This window comes from Homo sapiens, chromosome 2, assembly GCF_000001405.40.
Source record: "Homo sapiens chromosome 2, GRCh38.p14 Primary Assembly".
NCBI classification, from domain to species: domain Eukaryota; kingdom Metazoa; phylum Chordata; class Mammalia; order Primates; family Hominidae; genus Homo; species Homo sapiens.
Genome location: NC_000002.12, coordinates 72,546,818 through 72,566,214, shown reverse-complemented (window position 1 = coordinate 72,566,214; position 19,397 = coordinate 72,546,818). Strand labels below are relative to the sequence as shown.

At 35.1% G+C, this 19,397-nt stretch overlaps 1 protein-coding gene across 12 annotated transcripts in view; it reads left to right on the top strand.

Annotated features, from left to right (window-relative positions):
• Positions 1-19,397, top strand: part of EXOC6B (exocyst complex component 6B) — a 650,050-nt gene that overhangs the window by 259,819 nt on the left and 370,834 nt on the right. For all 12 annotated transcript variants that reach the window (NR_135774.2, NR_135773.2, XR_007071495.1 and 9 more), the window contains one exon: positions 6,694-6,762. Coding sequence is in view for 8 of the 12 variants with exons in the window: in NM_001321734.2 (NP_001308663.1) it covers positions 6,694-6,762 (69 nt within the window). In the remaining 4 variants the exon portion in view is untranslated. The remainder of the gene's footprint in view (positions 1-6,693; positions 6,763-19,397) is intronic.

The following is a 19,397-nucleotide window of genomic DNA, read 5'->3' as shown; positions in this document are numbered from 1 at the left end:
GTTTGCCAAGGGCTAGGCATCAGGAAACAATTTTACTACAAAGGGGCATAGGGAATTTTGGGAAGTGCTGGAACTGTTTCTTCTTATCTTGATTATGATGATGATTACAGGTCTATATGCATTTGTCAGAACTTACAGAATTGTTTACTAGAAAGAGTGAATTTTACCATACGCAAAACACTTTAAAACTTAAAAAAAAAAACAAAACAAAACCTGAGAACTATTTTTTCCGTGTGGTTGGAGCTATATCCTCAGGGTAGTTTCCCAGAAGCAGGATGGTTGAGTCAAGGGGTAAATGCACGTATAATTTTGTTAGATAATGTCAAATTCTCCTCCATAGGGGTTGTACTATTTTCTATACCCCACCACCCACCCCAGCAATGCATGAGTTGCCTATTTTCTTACAGCTTCTTTAAGAGAGTATTTATTTTAAGCTTTTGAATTTCTGCCATTCTCATAGATAAGAAACATATCTCTTTGTAGTTTTAATTTTCATTCCTATCACTGTGGGTAAAGTTGAGTATCTTAATAAGGTTCAGGGCTAGTTGTATATCTTTTTCATAAACTGCTTATGTCTTTTGCCTATTTTTTGAATGATTTTGGTTTTTTTCTTCATTATTGGTTCTCTATATATTAGGGATATTTGTTCTTTACCTATAATAATGTAGCGATTTTAACCTACTTTTCCTCATCTTAATTTTTTATCCTCCCAGACCTTTTACGTTTAATACCAAGTAGTGCAAAATTGCCTCTTTTGCCTAAAGGTTTAGAGTTTCATAGCATATAGTGGACCCTTGTTAAATAAAGACCACTTGAATTTTTGTTTCACCAGTGTTCAGCTTTTTTTTTTTTTTTTTTTTTTTTTAGACAGGGTCTCACTCTGTCACTCAGGCTAGAGTACAGTGGCATGATCTCAGCTCACTGCAGCCTCGTCCTCCCAGGCTCAAGCGATCCTCCCACTTCAGCCTCCTGAGTAGCTGGGAGTACAGGCATGTGCCATCACACCTGGCTAAGTTTTGCAATTTTTTGTAGAGATGGGTTTCGTCATGTTGCACAGGCTGGTCTTGAACTCCTGGGCTCAAGCGATCCACCTGCTTCGGCCTCCCAAAGTGCTGGGATTACAGGTGTAAGCCGCCATGCCTGGCCCTCAGTGTTCAGCTTTAAGCAGAGAATTCTTGAGGGACTATCCTTTGACTTTGGGCACAGGTTTTTTGCAGTGCCTCAGTAAGGAGAAATGGTGGTTTTTCCTGATTTTGTTCTGCTTAGTGCAAACACTTGAGTAATTAATAAGTGGTAATCTGCTTAGGGATTTTTCAGAAAGAATCCTAATAATTTGTGAGAAGCTCCTTGGCATAATTTTGTGCTTTTTTAGGATAGGGTTCTGGCCACAGTATTCTTATATGCTCAAAGGTTTAGAAAATTCTTTATGCTTTTGCTAATTCTAGTCACTTAAAATTATAGGCCTTCCAGTTTGTTGGTGTTTCTGTGGTGTTTAGTCTAGCTGCATAAAAGCTCATATCCAAATGAATTCTACCCTTCTTTTCTCTGAATTTTGGGAAGCAACATAGTTCTGAAATGCACACTGGTGAAAAATGTTTGCCAGACATTTCCTGGCTTATAGACATAATATGGGCTGTCAAAATTGATCCTCTGAATGCAAAGTCAGTGCTCCTTCAGCTAATCATTTGTTGTCTTCTCTTTGCAGAAAAATGCCTGGTACATTTTAATGACTTGAGATCTAAGTAATGCTCAGAAATGGGCACCAAGTCCCTGCATTCATTTACCGATACGGAGAAACTATTTTGTACTCAAATAATTAGTGAGAAAGATATCTAAATTCCTTGCAAATCTCTGTCAAACTCTTTTTGGATGATCCATCTACTTTGAAAGCCTTCTTAAGAGAAAAATAAATGCCGTGTAGGTGTATGAGGGAGAGAGTGTGTGTGTCTGTGTATTTGTGTATCTTCTGGTGCAGCTGTGGGAACAATAGGGCTGGAGTGTACTAATGCATTTCTATTTTAATGTGCTGTCTTTATCAGCAGTAGAGGTAAATCTGTCATAGTATATCGCTCCTCTTCTTGAGCAGAGGGAGGCAAGCAATCTTTTCTTATAGTGTATTCCCCTTTTCTAAGGGTATGCTTACCCAGCAGTAAAGCTGGTAGAGTTATCATATTTTTACCTGCAGATAATTTTTCTTTCCTGCCTTCCTTCACTAGTGAGTCTTTTAAAATAGTAGAAAATATTTATGAACTCTGAATCCTTTTGGGGGAAGGGTTAGAAAAATATTAAATGAATATATCTGTTAAAACTTGAATGGCATCATGCATTTTAAAAATCAAAATATCCTTTTTTTAATATGTAAAGGCGTTTTCCTCATGTGCCATGAGAGGAACTTAACCATTTACTTTTCCGTTCTTAGAGACTTTCTTTTACCTGAACTAAGATGTACTAGAGAAGAAGAAAAAGATATCCTAAAAGTCACATCCTGGCGTTTTGTAAAAATTTTTGTAATCAGAAATGTTGATGTTTCTTTTCACCTCATCATCTAATATTCCCATATCTATGCTAAATCTGTATATCTTCTGTAGTAAATATTATCTGTGGGGCTCATAATATTTTTTCAGGGGGCCTTTGATTAATCCCATTTTAAAGTTTATATTTATTTTGTAACATCCTCTATTTTCAGACTCTTTTTTGTCATCTATACATTGGTCCCATGTGTTAGGTGCCATATTTATAGAATATAAATGCTATTTAACAACAAATATATTCCACAAACAAAAACTAGGAACTATTGCTTTGATTGAAGCTGTTAATTGGTATTATAAAAATGTAAGAATCATGTATTGAAACGAACAGATTAGCCATATGTATTGGTATCTAGTGGATACCAAACGTGGATGCCAGTAGGATCCATTAGATACCAATTCATGTGCCTAATCTATCAATGATCTCTAATTGTGAATGTGTATTTATAGAAGAATGTAATAGTTGCTTCCATTATATCTACCTCTGGATACTGAAGTTCAGGCATCCTCAAATTCTTTTACTAGCTCGTTATTTATCCGTTATTAAAAAATGTATCCTAGTTCTCTTAGTTTATGTAATATTATAATATGCTCTGAGGCACAGATATCTTAGTTATAGAATGTAAAATCTTACCTACTATTTGATCCTCTGGAAAAAGGTTTGAACTGGCAAAAGGCACTAATGCTCTCCATTCAGAAACTATTAGGGAATTAGGCAGCTGCTGTCCTTGGTGATGAAACTATTTCACGTGAATTCTTAAGGAAAACAACTAGTTAAAAAAGCAGGATAATCTTGAATATACTATTTGTGGCTACTATTTGTATCTTCATAGATGTATTTGAACTTCTAGAAAAATACAGACTCCAGTATCTTAAAGTCTTGAGTTCCTGACTGCCAGGCAGAGGAAATGTTTAACTATTCTAATCATGTTTCTGTATCTCAGAAAGAAAGCCCTTATGAGAGGAAATGACAACGTCCTACCACAAAGTTATCTCTTATCAGTTATAGTTGCAGTCGATAATGATTTGTCAAATTTGGACATGTGTAAAATGCAAGGGCTGTGTTATTTTCTTTGGAAAGGAAAAATTAGATGAAGCTGATAAAGAAGGAGTCATGGCTTTTGTTAGGAGACAGAAACCATTAGAAAGTTATTGTTAGCTTAGGAAAGTGTCCTTGGACCCCTCCCTCTGCCCCAGCTGAAACCTAAACCTGCTTGAATCATTCTTTGCAACTTGAGGGGAGACAGGGTCAAAGAAAAGGAAGAAGTATGAATATAGCTTTGACAGAGAGTTAGTATTTTAAATGGAGATCAAGATGTGGACCTTAAAACAACCCATTTCTGTGAGTAGGGAAAAACTACATTTTCTTCTGATACTCTTCCCCACCCCTTTTTATTTAGATTTTTGAAAGTTCACTTCTTATTCTTCCAAACCTGTAGCATTCCTTCACATCCAATGTATGTTGCTCTTCTCCTTTTGCCTTTCTGTAGTTGTGATTTTTTTTCATTAGTGGCAGCAGAGAAAACACATCTCGCACTAAGCAACATGAGTCAGTGCATACTTTACATAGCTTTATCCTCACAGCACTCTTCTTGGTTCCTCACAGTGTTCATTCCTAGTGTTCTTCACAGAGGGGAGCATAGAGGAAAAATGATTTCTAAATATTAGGCTATTTTGGGAGTAGAGGTAAAGGTTGTGAACGGAAGCCCCATTTTACTCCCTTCTCTTTTTGTCTAGATTTCTGTGTACTGCTTTCAAAGCAGGCAGTCTTATGCTTAGGAAGACTTAACTGGATGGTGGTTCCAGTGGCTAAGAAATAAGAGACAATACTTACAAGTGAGAGCACTTTAGCCAGTTTGAAGCTGATAGAATGATGTCACAACAGCCTCAGAGAGAATAGATTTGGTTGTAAATATTCGTTGGAGATGACAAAAAGTGGCCTTTGTCTCCTTTCTAAATATATCCATTTTTTTAAATAGTATGCCCAGATAAACCAGTCTTAGCCCATTAGTAACAAAACGTCTTTGTTATGTGGCTGTGTTAGCTTATTTATCACAGATTTCTAGGGAAATTCTCCCTTAATTTAGATGTTCATTCTACAAGGATGGGTCTGACATATAAAAGGGCTAAGGCCTTGTCTGAGGAATGGCTACAAGCAGTTTCCTTTTGAGTGAAACTATGGTTCTGAGATGAAGTTAAACAAAATAAGCTACATGAAGAAGAACATATAAACAAAATTATGATTGAATTTGCTACTCAAAATTATGTAAGAAAAATTCTTTAAACTTTTTGTAAATATGTAACAAAGAATTTAAAAATCATTAATTCTAAATAAAAGAAAAACGTGTCATTTCCTATACAGATCAAACTTTTAAATATTTTTTTCATATGCATGTGTAGTTTTTATATAGTTTAAATACTATTGTGAATATCATGTTTGATGTTTTAAAATTTTTCTTCTTTTGAGAATGTGTTTTGCTTAGCTGTAGGCTCTGGTTTTTTGGCAAGATAAAAGAAATTTTCCTCATATTTTGGCAAGATAAAATAGACTCTGGTTTTCTGTCAAGATAAAATAAATTTCCTTTGGGTCTCTACTTTGCAGTCCGAAAGAGGAGACTGTAAAGATGTTTTAGTGTTGTGATCATTTCAAATAAGGGTGCCTAAAATGATCACCTGTGGACTCTTTGTGTTATTAAGATGAAAATGAGTGTCCATTTGCACTCATACAATTTTTATATGCTATTTAATCCTATTGTTTTTAAACTGCATGCTGCACATCTCTCCATATTTTTTTTCAGTAATTTGCAATGCTCATTACCTCTTCTTAAACTTTTTTTTTTTTTTAAAGTAAAGTTATTCTTGGACCATGGTATAGGATATTGACCATCTTACTATCAGTTTTTAGATTCACTTAAAAGTTTGTTGTGTGCTTACAGAGTATACAGTGCTATCAAGGAACTTAAATATAGAGATTTAATCTTTGCTCTCATGGGTGCGAAGCAGATGAACAGAATAGTCAATAAGTTTGAACCCATAAATATAAAGGTGTGATGGTTCCAGAAGGAAAACAACATAGGTGTTGTGCTGTTGAATTTTAGAATTAGTAGATTTCATTAAGAAAAGTATCTTGGTAAAGAAGCTATGCCCCAAAAGAAGAAATGAGGTTTACTTTATGAAATAAGGGAAAATGACCTTGTAATTATGAATCAGCCCTACCCAATTTAGATGTGCCTACTGCTTATATTCTGATGAATTATATAGTTACCAGTGTTATAGTAAAAACTGGTAGGTCTTTATTTTGAATGTTTCTTTATGTAATTTTTTCATTTTCTTTTTATTTTGTTTTGTTCAACATTTAGTTTCAATATTTCCTTTTATTATTAAATCCCTATAAATCAGCTGATTTTTTTTTCAACTTAGGTAGTCGAGACCAAATTATGAATTACTCTTGTCAGATCACATAGCAAATCAATTTTGGCATTGAAACTAGACTCCAGTTCTTACCTGATGTTTTTTTCTTTTACTTTCTCTTTTGATGTCTAGGTTTAATTAACATACACTATTCACATTAAAATACGTTGGTATTACTTCTTGGTTTGACTTTTCCATTCTTTGTCTTATTTTTCACATAATCTCCCCTCTTTTCATAGCATATTTCTGTATTTTGATTGCATGTTGACTTAAGTATTGACGAATTCTTGTGTTCTTCAGAAGTTGGCTGGCAGGCCGTGATTCATATTGTGTGGCAAGTTTTGTTTTTGACTACTAAAACTTAGTTTTTTATGTACACTATCATGTCTTTTAGAAATCAAAGTCGTCATGAAAGGTGTATTCTCACATTGTTCTTATTTTCCCTTTAGAGTCCCATGGTCAAAGATATATCTCTAAAGGCAAATGCAGGATTGGTGCCACCTGTTTCTCTTTGCTACCCATCCTTGTGGGCTTTGTGCCAGCCTTGGTGTATATCTTCACGGTTTATTAATTCTATGGCTAAAACATAAGAACTAGGTCTTTGGAAACCTATTTTTTTGTTTGTTTTGTATTTCTCACTTACAAGCTAGAACTGGCCTTTATAAAAAGAACCAAACACTTGAGTAGTAACAATTAATGTAGTTGCTTTTAATAGCTTTGTTTGAATTTTTTTGTTATAATCTTGTGTTTGCAGGTACCTGGGGCCCAAGATTTGGTGGATTTCTCTCCAGTTTATCGATGTCTACATATATATTCTGTCCTGGTGAGTCTTTATCTGGCTCTGCCTAATAAAGATGTCCATTGAGTTCAAAACTTTGCTCTCTCAACTTTTGGTAGTTTTTCTGTTTATTATTAAGAGTGAAAAATGAGAAAACTCTTGTTGTTTAAGGACTGTTAATTATAAAAAACAATTTTGAATCTCATGTTTTTATGTAATATGCTATGGCTAGTGACATTTCTTAGTCATCAATAAATCAGTAGCTTATGACTAGAAATAGTCATACATCCAGATTTCTGTTTTTAGTTTAATAATGTAGTTATTTAAATAACAATATTCTGTCTTTACACATTAAAATAGTATTTGTGAAAATGTTTACTTTTTTATTCCTAATGACAATTACTCCTTTTGTCATATAAAGCATATGGAAAAGGGAACCTCTCTGTGTGGGGGATATTATAGATGTTAATAATATTCTAAGAAATGATCCCTTTCTCCATTTTGGTAGTACACTCACATGCAGACACATAGATACACAGAAAGTAAGTCAAAAATTAAACTCTAGCAACCAAGACAAATTGGTGAGAGAAGCCTATTATCGATTTTTTTTACAGAAACTTTCAGTGATGCTTATATCAGGTTGTTTTTAATATGTTCAAGTATGTCTTATTGCCCAGTCTCTTATCAATTTTTATTTGTGTATATATATATCTTTTTTTTTTCTTTTTGAGACAGAGTTTTGCTCTTGTTGCCTAGGCTGGAGTGCAATGGCATGATCTTGGCTCACCACAACCTCCGCCTCCCGGGTTCAAGCGATTCTCCTGCCTCAGCCTCTCGAGTAGCTGGGATTACAGGCATGTGCCACCACGCTCAGCTAATTTTGTGTTTTTAGTAGAGATGGGGTTTTTCTATGTTGGTCAGGCTGGTCTTGAACTCCTGACCTCAGGTCATCCACCGTCTGGGTCTCCTAAAGTGCTGGGATTACAGGCGTGAGCCACCGTGCCTGGTCTCTCTTTGTTCACATATTTAACATAGTACCACTTTGTCATTACTCCTGACAATTTGGGATACTGAGCTATGGACTTTATGGTCTGAAATATTTTGTGGTAGTTTTATTGGTTAGATTAAAAATCAGGTAGTTTCCTCTTCTCTCCCTCTCTTGCCCACTTCTTCATCTTCCTCTTTTCTTCTCTCTTTCTCCTCTGTCTTCCCTCCCTTTACACTCCCTCTCTCTCAATCTACAATTCCTTGCTGTTTTTTTTTAAATAGGTGGTTAAAATAGTGAATACTAAAAATAATGTGTAGCCTTATAATGTGATTTTTGTATTTACATTTGAATATAAGTATGTCTCACAGGTTTAAATGTCCATACTAGAATCATGTAACAGTGGAGAGGCATTAGAATTGAATTTAATATTGCAGTAGCAGCAATTTCTCAGAAGACATTCTTTTTTTTTTTTGGTTTTATAAAGAAGCTCTGAATATCTTACTACTAAAGTAACATATACTCATTTAGAAATTTTAAAGTTACAAAAATGAAATAAAACATAATACATGAAAATAAAATTATAATTGCCTACGATTTCACACCTAGAGCCCACCATTATTTATGTTCTGTGTATTTTCGGACACTTTTAACAAAAATAAAATTAATATTGTCTGATATATGTACAATTCTTTTTTTAAAAAAAATTTAGGTTTGGGGATACATGTGAAGGTTTGTTACATAGGTAAACTCATGTCACGGGGGTTTGTTGTATAGATTATTTCATTACCCAGCAATTAAGCCCAGTACCCAAAAATTATCTTTTCTGCTTCTCTCTCTCCTCCCATCCTCCACCCTCCACCCTCAAGTAGACCTTACTGTCTATTGTTTCCTTCTTTGTGTTCATAAGTTCTTGTCATTTAGCCCCCACTTATAAGTGAGAACATGGGATATTTGTTTTTCTGTTCCTGCATTAGTTTGCTGAGGATAACAGTCTCCTGCTCCATCCATGTTCCTGCAAAAGACATGATCTCATTCTTTTTTATGGCTGCACATGTACCATTCATGTTATATAAAGGTGAAGCCAAATGTAGATTGAATTGTATCAAGGCATCTAAAACAATTTGACAATCTTTTTCAATCACAGGTATAGATAAGAAATCATATACATCTTAGACTGTGACACTCTATTATCAGTTCATAAAGGCCCCCCCCCCCCCCCGGATTTTATTTTGTTTCATTATATTTTTTTCCATTCATTCATTGTTTACAAGCCCAGTTGTCTCTCATCTCCAAGAATAATAACACTAATATATGTAATATATGGTCATAGATGTGTAAATATCCTTGAAAAATATATAGTGATTTGTATATGTATGTGCTTTTAATTTACTCAGATGATGTTGCGCTATGGATCTAGTTTGCATTTCTCTGGTTATTAGTAAAAATTGTGCTTTTCTTTATAGACTAGTGGATCTTTTTAGATTTTTATTCTATAAAGTGCTTATTTTTAACCTTTGTTCATTTTTTTTAATCGGGTTTCTTGTTTTTTTCCCTCCTTTCTGAAAGAGAAATTTCAGAAATTCCTCATATATTGTAGATACTGACAGTTTAGAATGTTTAAAATGTCCTTTTTTCACAATTTGTCACCAGACTCTAAACTATGTCTATGTTATGTTCAATGAAACAGAAATATTTAGTTTCCATGTAATCACATCCATCAATTTTAGCCATATAAGTTTAAACTTTTGAGTTTTTTTTTAAAATACCTCTTTATCCTGCTGTCACAGAGTATTTACTTTATACTACATTTAATATTTTACCATTTAGATTTTCATCTTAACCCATCTTAGGTTCATCATTGTATATAAGGGGACTTTAGGAAGTTCATGGAAAAAAGAAACTAAAACATAAAAATAAAAAATATAAACTTTGTTTTTCAACAGAAGCTCCATCAAGTTTAAGACACTTTTGTAAGCAATTATACTAGCCATTTAGCCCATCTCTAAAGAACTGAGGGTCCTAGAAATTTAACCATGTCAACGTAGTCTTTTGTACATTACTAACTGAAGAAAGATAGTTGCTCTTTAAAGGCTTTTTAAAAATAGGAAACAAAAAGAAGTCAGAAGAAGCTAAATCAGGACTATAAAGTGAATGTCTAATGATTTCCCATTGAAACTCTGGCAAAATTGCCCTCATTTGATAAGGGGAATGAGCAGAAGCATTGCTGTAGTGGAGAAGGACTGTATAGTGAAGCTTTCCCAGGCATAGCTCTTCTAGAGCTTTGGCTAAAAGTCTCATAACAAGCAGGTGTCATTGTTCTTTGGCCTTCCAGAAAGTCAACAAGAAAAATGCCTTTAGCATTTCAAAAATCTGTTGCCTCGACCTTTGCTCTTGACTGGTCTGCTTTTGCTTTGACTGGACTACTTTCATCTTTTAGTAGCCATTGCTTTGATTGTGCCTTGTCTTCAGGATTGTACTGGGAAAGCCATGTTTCTCTTCTGCTATAGTTCTTCAAGGAAACTGTATTAGTCTGTTGTCACACTGCTATAAAGAACACTGCCTGAGGCCGGGTGCAGTGGCTCATGCCTGTAATCCCAGCAGTTTGGGAGGCTGAGACAGGTGGATTGCTTGAGGTCAGGAGTTTGAGACCAGCCTGGCAACATGGTGAAACTCTGTCTCTACTAAAAATACAAAAATTAGCCAGGCGTGGTGCTGGGTGCCTGTAATCCCAGCTACTCAGGAGGCTGAGGCAGGAAAATTGTTTGAATCTGGGATGTGGAGGTTGTAGTGAGCCGAGATCATGCTACTGCACTCCAGCCTGGGCAACAAAGCTGGGGACTCACTCTGTCCCTTGAAAGTTGTGTGGAACTCCAGCAAAAGAAACTAAATTTATAAGAAAAAAACAGACAACCCCATAAAAAGTGGGCAAAGGATATGAACAGACACTTCTGAAAAGAAGACATTTATGCAGCCAACAGACATATGAAAAAATGCTCATCATCACTGGTCATCAGAGAAATGCAAATCAAAACCACAATGAGATACCATCTCACACCAGTTAGAATGGTGATCATTAAAAAGTCAGGAAACAACAGATGCTGGAGAGAATGTGGAGAAATAGGAATGCTTTTACACTGTTGGTGGAAGTGTAAATTAGTTCAACCATTGGGGAAGACAGTGTGGCAATTCCTTAAGGATCTAGAACTAGAAATACCATTTGACCCAGCCATCCCATTACTGGGTATATACCCAAAGGATTATAAATCATGCTACTATAAAGACATATGCACAAGTATGTTTATTGTGGCACTGTTCACAATAGCAAAAACTTGGAAACAACCCAAATGTCCATCAATGATAGACTGGGTTAAGAAAATGTGGCACATATACACCATGGAATACTATGCAGCCATAAAAAAGCATGAGTTCATGTCCTTTGCAGGGACATGGATGAAGCTGGAAACTGTCATTCTAAGCAAACTATCACAAGGACAGAAAACCAAACACCACATGTTCTCACTCATAGGTGGGAGTTGAACAATGAGAACACATGGACACAGGGCGGGGAACATCACACACTGGGGCCTGTCAGGGGTTGGGGGTCTGGGGGAGGGATAGCATTAGGAGAAATACCTAATGTAAATGACGAGTTGATGGGTGCAGCAAACCAACATGGCACGTGTATAGCTATGTAACAAACCTGCATGTTGTGCACATGTACCCTGGAACTTAGAGTATAATAAAAAAATAAAAAATAAAAACAAAGAAAGTTGTGTAGAACTTACATATGCAATGTGAACTCACTCAAGAAAAGAACACTACCTGAGACTGGGTAATTATAAAGAAAAGAGGTTTAATTGACTCACAGTGCTGCAGGCCTAACAGGAAGCATGGCTAGGCAGCCTCAGGAAACTTATAATTGTGGTGAAAGGTGAAGGGGAAGCAGGCAACTTCTTCACAAGGTGGCAGGAAAGAGAATGAATGTGAGGACAGGAAAAATTGCCATTTTAAAACCATCAGATCTTGTGAGACTCACTCACTATCATGAGAACAGCATGGGGGAAACTGCCCCCATAATCTAATCACTTCCCTCCCTTGACACATAGGGATTACAATTTGAGGTGAGATTTGGTTGGGGACACAGAGCCAAACCATATCATAAATGGTTCAGGATCTTGATCCCCCACTTTTTAAAAATTTCCATTGAAAGTTCTCTGCTCTTTTCTGCAGCGGATCTGAGTGCAGTGGTTTTGCATTGAGTGGAAAGTCTGCTTGACTTCCATTTTTCAGGGAGAATTGTGTAATCTAAAGCTATTGAGATGTCTATGGTGTTGGCTATTGTTTGTACTGTTAATTATCAGTCCTCTTTAATTAGGGCACAAACAAGATTGTTTTCTCAAAAATTGATGTGAATGGTCTGTCACTGCAGGCTTCATTTTCAAAATTGTCTCATCCCTTCTTAAAACAAATATCCACTTATAAGCTGCTGATTTCTTTGGGGCATTGTCTTTATAAACTTTTTGTAAAGCTTCAATGATTTCACCATTCTTCTACCCAAGTTTTACCATAAATTTGATATTTGTGCTTGCTTCAATTTTAGCAGAATTCATGTTGCTCCAATAGAGGCTCTTTTCAAATTGATGTCTTATACTTTTTAGTGCCTCAAACTAGATCCTGTTCAGACATATTATAACAAGTTAGTACAAGCTTATTTTGGTGTAAAATATTTTGAAATTCCTGCATAGTGTTTTTATAATATGCATTTTCCATGAACTTTTTAAGACCTCTTGTATAATATGAGGCTTTATTTTTTTCCATATGATGAATTCAGTTTTATCAATTCCATCTACTACATAATCTGTATGTCACTTAGTGATTTCTGGTAGTACCTCTGGCATATACTAAATTTCAATATTTACATTGTTCTGTTTCTGAGCTCATTTTTTGTTATATTTTATAATATATCAAAATATAGATGGTATAAAATAAGTCCCTTCTCATGTCTCTTCTTTAAAATTGCATTAGCTATTTATAGATCTTTATTTTTCCATATATATGTTATAGTAAGTTTGAGATTATTCAAAAAGTCCTTCTAGAATTTTGATTTGAATTGATTGAATTTGTAGTTACATTTTGGAAGAATTAACAGTTTCATAATGCTAAGTCATCCCAGTCATGGAAGAGGAAGATCTTTTAAATTATTTAATTGAGCTTTCCCCCAACCTCATGTTAATAGTTTTGGGCATTCTTTGTTAGATAAATAGCAAAATACTTAGTTTTTGTTGTGGTTTTCTACTTTATTTTCTAATTAGTTATTGCTGATATTGAGGAAAACTATTGATTTTTATAGGTTGATCTCACATCTAGAAACCTTGCTCAACTCTTTTATTGGTTCTAATAGTCATTTGGGTTCCTAAGTTTTCTGTGTAGTCAATCATATTGTCTGTAGATAGTGACTTTTTTTTCCTATATCTCATTATTCTTTTTATTGTCTTACTGTATTGACTGGAATCATCATTGCTTTGTTGTTCAGTAAGGTGATAGTAAGACTCTTTGTCTGATTTCTAATCTTAAAGAGAATATATCTGACTTTTTTCATTGATTAATCATTATATAGCTTTTTGGTAAATAATTTTTATTTAGTTATTCCTAGACTCTTGATAATCTTTTAAGAAAACATAAATGTCTGTTGAATTTTATTGAATTAGTTTTCTATACATATTAATATATTTATTCTTTAGTTTATGAATATGGTGAATTTCATTGATAGATTTTTTTTGATATTAATATCCTTGTGTTTATTAGATAAACTCAATTTGATGAGCATGTGTTACTACTTTTATAACATCCTGTAGAATTTAACTCCTTTTTGTTGTTGCTTTATTTTTTATTTTTGTGTTTGTGGTTTGGCCATATGTAATACAGCCCTGAAATTTTCATTTTTGGTGTGTTGTCCTTAGATGATTTGTAAGTCAGTGTTGTTTTAGCCTCATTAAAATTAGTTGGACATCTCCCCCTTTTTTCTATTTTATGAAACAACTTATATAAGAGTTATCTGTTCCTTGAAAGTTGTGTAGAACTCACACATGCAATAATATGCATTTTTCCTTTGCCACACACTGACTCCTTTCTTCCTTAACATTTTGTTTCTGTGCTTCATTATTTTGTTTACTCTCTTCAATCGTATGTTTGGATAAGGGAGTTCACAGTTGTAATTAAGCCAATAGTCTATAGAAAAATAATCATGTTTATTCACATCAAGTTTTAAGGTTAAGAGTAAGCCTCATAATTAAAAATTTAATGAATTTTTTTCCCTCAAATAACATAAGGTCTGTGAAATGGCTAGTTTATTTTGTTTAATGTTATATCCGCCAGTACCAACATTACTTGGCATGTGGTAAGTACTCAGTAAATATTATTAAATAGTTGAATGAATAAATAAGTGGTAACTAAAGAATCTAGTACATTTGTTTGAACATATGTTAACTCAAATCTTATTATTTGTTTCCTTGTTTAAAAAAACACTTACTGAATTTCTCTTCTTCATGAAATCAATTTGGAGAAGCAAGGATGTATAAAAGTTAATGCCTTATGCTTTAATATGATTACATTACACCAGGAGAGAAGTTACATTCTTTGAATGATTATAGTATGACCGCATTGTATCTCATCACTGTGTGTATGCTAGTTTTTATAAGCTATTAAGATTTTAATGGCCGGGCGCGGTGGCTCACGCCTGTAATCCCAGCACTTTGGGAGGCCGAGGCGGGCGGATCACTAGGTCAGGAGATCGAGACCATGGTGAAACCCCATCTCTACTAAAAATACAAAAAAAAAATTAGCCGGGCGTGGTGGCGGGCGCCTGTAGTCCCAGCTACTCGTGAGGCTGAGGCAGGAGAATGGCGTGAACCCGGGAGGCGGAGCTTGCAGTGAGCCGAGATCGCGCCACTGCACTCCAGCCTGGGGGACAGAGCGAGACTCCGTCTCAAAAAAAAAAAAAGATTTTATTATGTTTGCCAGGTGCGGTGGCTCACGCCTGTAATCCTAGCACTTTAGGAGGCCGAGGCAGGTGGATCACAAGGTCAAGAGATCGAGACCATCCTGGCCAACATGGTGAAACCCTGTCTCTACTAAAAATACAAAAATTAGCTGGGTGTGGTGGCACACACCTGTAATCCCAACTACTTGGGAGGCTGAGGCAGGAGAATCGCTTGAACCCGGGATGCGGAGGTTGCAGTGAGCCGAGATCGCGCCACTGCACTGCAGCCTGGGTGACAGAGCGAGACTCCGGATTTTATGATATTAAAATATGACAGATTTTGCTCAAGTGAACTCCAGTGGTGACTCATGAGTATTGAAATAATTTAATCACACATTTACTAGTTGTATGTTGTTAGGCTACCTTTCTCATACATGAAATAGGATAATAATTACCTACATAGTACAATTAATAAATTGAATAAATAGTGCCTAACTCAGTCACTTGCATGCATAATTGTCATTTAATAAATGGCAGTTATCCAAGATCGCGCCATTGCACTTCAGCCTGGGCAACAGGGTGAGACTCCGTCTCAAAAAAAAAAAAAAAAATAAAAAAAAAATAAATGGCAGTTATCTCGTAATTGTTATGTATCTCTGATGCTAATGGTTAGACACAGTATTGGTATTTTTAAAAGTGTTTGGCATAAACTATAGACATGTAGATAGGGGTTCTGGTCTCTGTCGTCAATATACAAATTTTTAAAAATTTACATATTCTTAATTGTACGATGACCATATGTAGTCCTAAGCTATGTAGAAACTAAGGCATACTGGTTATTATTTAGAGATGATAAAGCTCTAGAAAAGCAGGAAGACCTTAAACTGCCCATTTAAAAGTAAATTATACACAGTAATATTCCCTACTGTTGAAGTATTTTATATTCATAAATTTTCTATAGCAATTAATAAGGCATTGATTATATGGCAGAAACAGGTCTCTTCTCCCATTCACAGTAGTTCCTAGTTTTGAAAAGGTACAGTTAGTGGTAGAAACTCAGTTCTATTTTCTGGAGAATGTATGTTTATTTTCTGGACATTGATTTTCTAGGTCTATAGGGACTTTAAATAAATACTCAGATATCTCCATTAGAAAAGGAAGGACCAAAGCATGTATAACTTCTAGTGCTGACTCTTCATAGCCTTTTTGGGGCTGTAATTTGTTACCTCTCTTTCTTTGTTATCCCATTCTCAAGTCACAAATTGGCATTACTGCATGGTAAAGGATAGTTCCTCATAATATTAATTACAAAGACTTTTAAAAAATGGATTACTTAATATAAATGTTTGTAATTTTTTTTTCTTATTTTGTAATATAATTAATATTACTGTTGGAACTTAAGAAAAAGGATTTAGGAATAGAGAAACGGGGATTGAGGAGAAAATAAACCATATCTCTCGCATTCCTTTACATTCTAATGCTTGTCTCTACTTCTTCCCTTTTCATTCTCTCATCAACCCTGTATATTTATCTTCTGTTCTTAGCACTATCCTGAAACTGTATTTTCCTGGACCTTTTGGCTCCAACTTTGTTGATCATTTTTGCCTTATAATTCTTAATCTCTGTCTTCTTTTACAGTATGTTTTTCTAATTCTCTACCAGCCTTTCTGATACTTGTTGCCTGTTTTGGTCTTTGTGAGCTTTTCTTCTTCTTAGTGTCCTTCATTGTTCCCAGGGTTTTACCCTTGTCCCACTTTTCTTTGTGTCTTGCCTTTCTTGAATGATATACTCTATTCTCATGATTTGGAACCCTAATGACTTCCAAACCTATATCTTTAGTCCTCAGCTTTCCCTTGAGCTTTGGACTTATATGTATTGCCTAGTGAACAGAACCTTTCGGATATTCACAGGCAGCATAAACTCTGTATCTCCCTGTGTTTTAAAATGAAGGCATTATGTCTTGCCCCTCCTGCCCATCTGCATTTTTAGTTATGTCAGATAATAGTATCATCTATGTAGTCACCAGCCAGAAACATAAACTCTTGGGTTTTTCTGAATACCATCCAATCTCCAAATGTTATTTCCTAAATACAGTTTTACTCCATCTCATCTTTTCCTATCCTAAAATTATTGCCCTAGTTCAGATTCTCATCAGAATTATTGAAAATCGTCTCCTTATCTGGTCTCCCTACCATTATCTTAAGCCCTTAACTCAGTTCTCATTATAGTCATAATAATCTATTCAACATACAAATCTGATATATATGTTAGCTGCTTACAATTCTGTGATTGGTTATCTGTGGAGTAAAATGTAGAAGTATAGAATACAATATAGTATATAAAAGTATAGACGGTCTTCCATGTCTTATCATCCATATTTTCTTACTTTACTTTAATGATACTAAAATGCTTCCAGTTCTTTGAATGTATGCCTCTCATTCTTTCCCTTCTACCTGAATTACTATTCTCATTTATCTTACTAGTTCTTATTTATTTAAATTTTTTTATTTTTATTTTTTGAGACAGCGTCTCACTCTGTCGCCCAGGTTGGAGTGCAGTGGCGCGATCTTGGCTCACTGCAAGCTCCGCCTCCCGGGTTCACACACTTATTTATTTTTTACTTGTGTCATCCAGCAGTTTTTTCTAATGTTTCAGCTTGAACTCAGTGGACCCCCTACTCCTTCACATAGGATTCAGTGTATATTTATATTACTGCTTAACTTTATTATATCATCATATTCTAAATATGTTGTTTTTCCTCAATAGATTGTAAGCTCTTTTAGGGCAGGTATTATATTTATTCACCTCTTTTTAGTCCCAGTACTTAGCACTTAGTATTAGTAGTATGTAATAATCAGTAAATGTTTGTTTTTGATTTTGAACGATAATTACTCTCCTTTTGACCTGCAGATGAATTCAGTATTCTAGTCACGGGGACTGTTACACAATATCAGGGCTGGGACCTATATGAGGGAAAACAGTTCTATTGGTGTCCAACGGAAGGATCATAACATAAGTAACAAAAAGTTCTAATATTTTGTCATTTACAATAGTGTTTATCTGAACTTTTGGCCTGGAGGATAACAAGGCACTCTTTGAATAAACATGGCAATATTTATTATTTTTAGTGAAACCGACCTTCCACTCACCCCCCTTTTATGGCTTTGCTGCTTATAAATTCCCAAAGGATTATTTGAAAAATCCTACTTATATCTGCCAGCCTTATCAGTAGGTCAGGAGTTCATGTATTGTAACAGGAGGTCAGATTTCGGTCATGGTCTTATAGATGGGGCCAAGCACCTGCAAATTCTTCCTTTGGTGACTAAAGTGAAGTACAATATCAAACAGGCAGTGAGACTTTTCTAGGAAGTGCTGAACTTTGGCAGGAAGGGCAAACTTTGGCAGGGGGAGGGGAGGGAAGAAAGTGAACAAGGGTCAGATAGTGGTTAATTGAGACATGGTCTTTGATAAAATAATGCAGTGGGAGTGTGCAGGGCAAAGGTAGAAGTATTTTATGGAATCATTTAAAAAATTTTATATGGTTTAAATCTTCACATTCACGTACAGTTTAGATTTGGGCAGGTAAGGGGCAGGATATAAAATATCATTTTATAGTAATTGAAAAATATGTTTTTAAAAGGGAAAACTAAAAATTTTACTGTTAAGCAAATGATGAATAATAATAATTTGAGGTTCTTGTATGTAGTGAACTGGTAGTTATAAAGACGGGTGGGCTATGTGTCTGATGAAGACAAACTATTCTGTCTTGTAGATATTTATGAACTTTATTGATTCAGTCGGCCCTAATCCTCAAACCCAGCTCAATTTGGACAAAGATCTGCATGTACTTTAAGCTCCTTTATACAATGAAACATCTTTCTGAATCTGCTTTCAGTTCACTCCTCACCCTTCTATCACTGGAAGGGTGTATGTACATCCCATAACAAGTAGCTTAGGTGTCATTAGGAGAGACTAGAGGGGCAAACCTATAAATGTATCCATAAGCTTAGTTTGTGAGTCTTGTATGTGATCTTCTTGTGGTTTCTTGATCTCAGCTATGTACATCATCTTCTCATGAGCAGTTTAAATTCCTAGATTTAAAAAATGTTGACAAAATGTTCACCTTTGATTAATGTTCTTTTCTGCGTATGTGTTATACTATAATAAAAAGTTTAAAGATTTCTGACATCTTGGGTCCAGCGATAGCAATTAAAATACATGGACATTTTTAGCAATCCCCCAGTATTATATGAATCATAAGAACTTCATTTTTATTGAATTCTGCTCCATTCACTACAGGAGACTATAAAATACCCTAAGATATAAGGGAATTGAGAATATCATTGTGCAGTGAATTCATTATTACAAAGGCTCTATCAAGTACAGTATTTCTCTTAAATTTTCTTAATCAAGGGGCCTCTGAGATTTTACAAAAGCTCTGAATGCTTTCACCAGGCAAAATGCACATATGTGCATGCATGTGACATTTGGCTTAAAATTTCAGAGGCTTCGCCAATTCCCTGAATCTCATCCATAGACCCAGAAAGAATCCCTCCTCTAAAGGGAAGTACAGAGTTAGGTTTCAGGTATCTATTGACTACAGACCTTTGCCCCAGAATGGCTTTCCCCAATTCCATTTGAGTATCTCCTTGTATAAGCCTCATAAGAACTCTCTACCACCTTGTCTTTTTCTTAAATTTGGAAGCCTTGCCA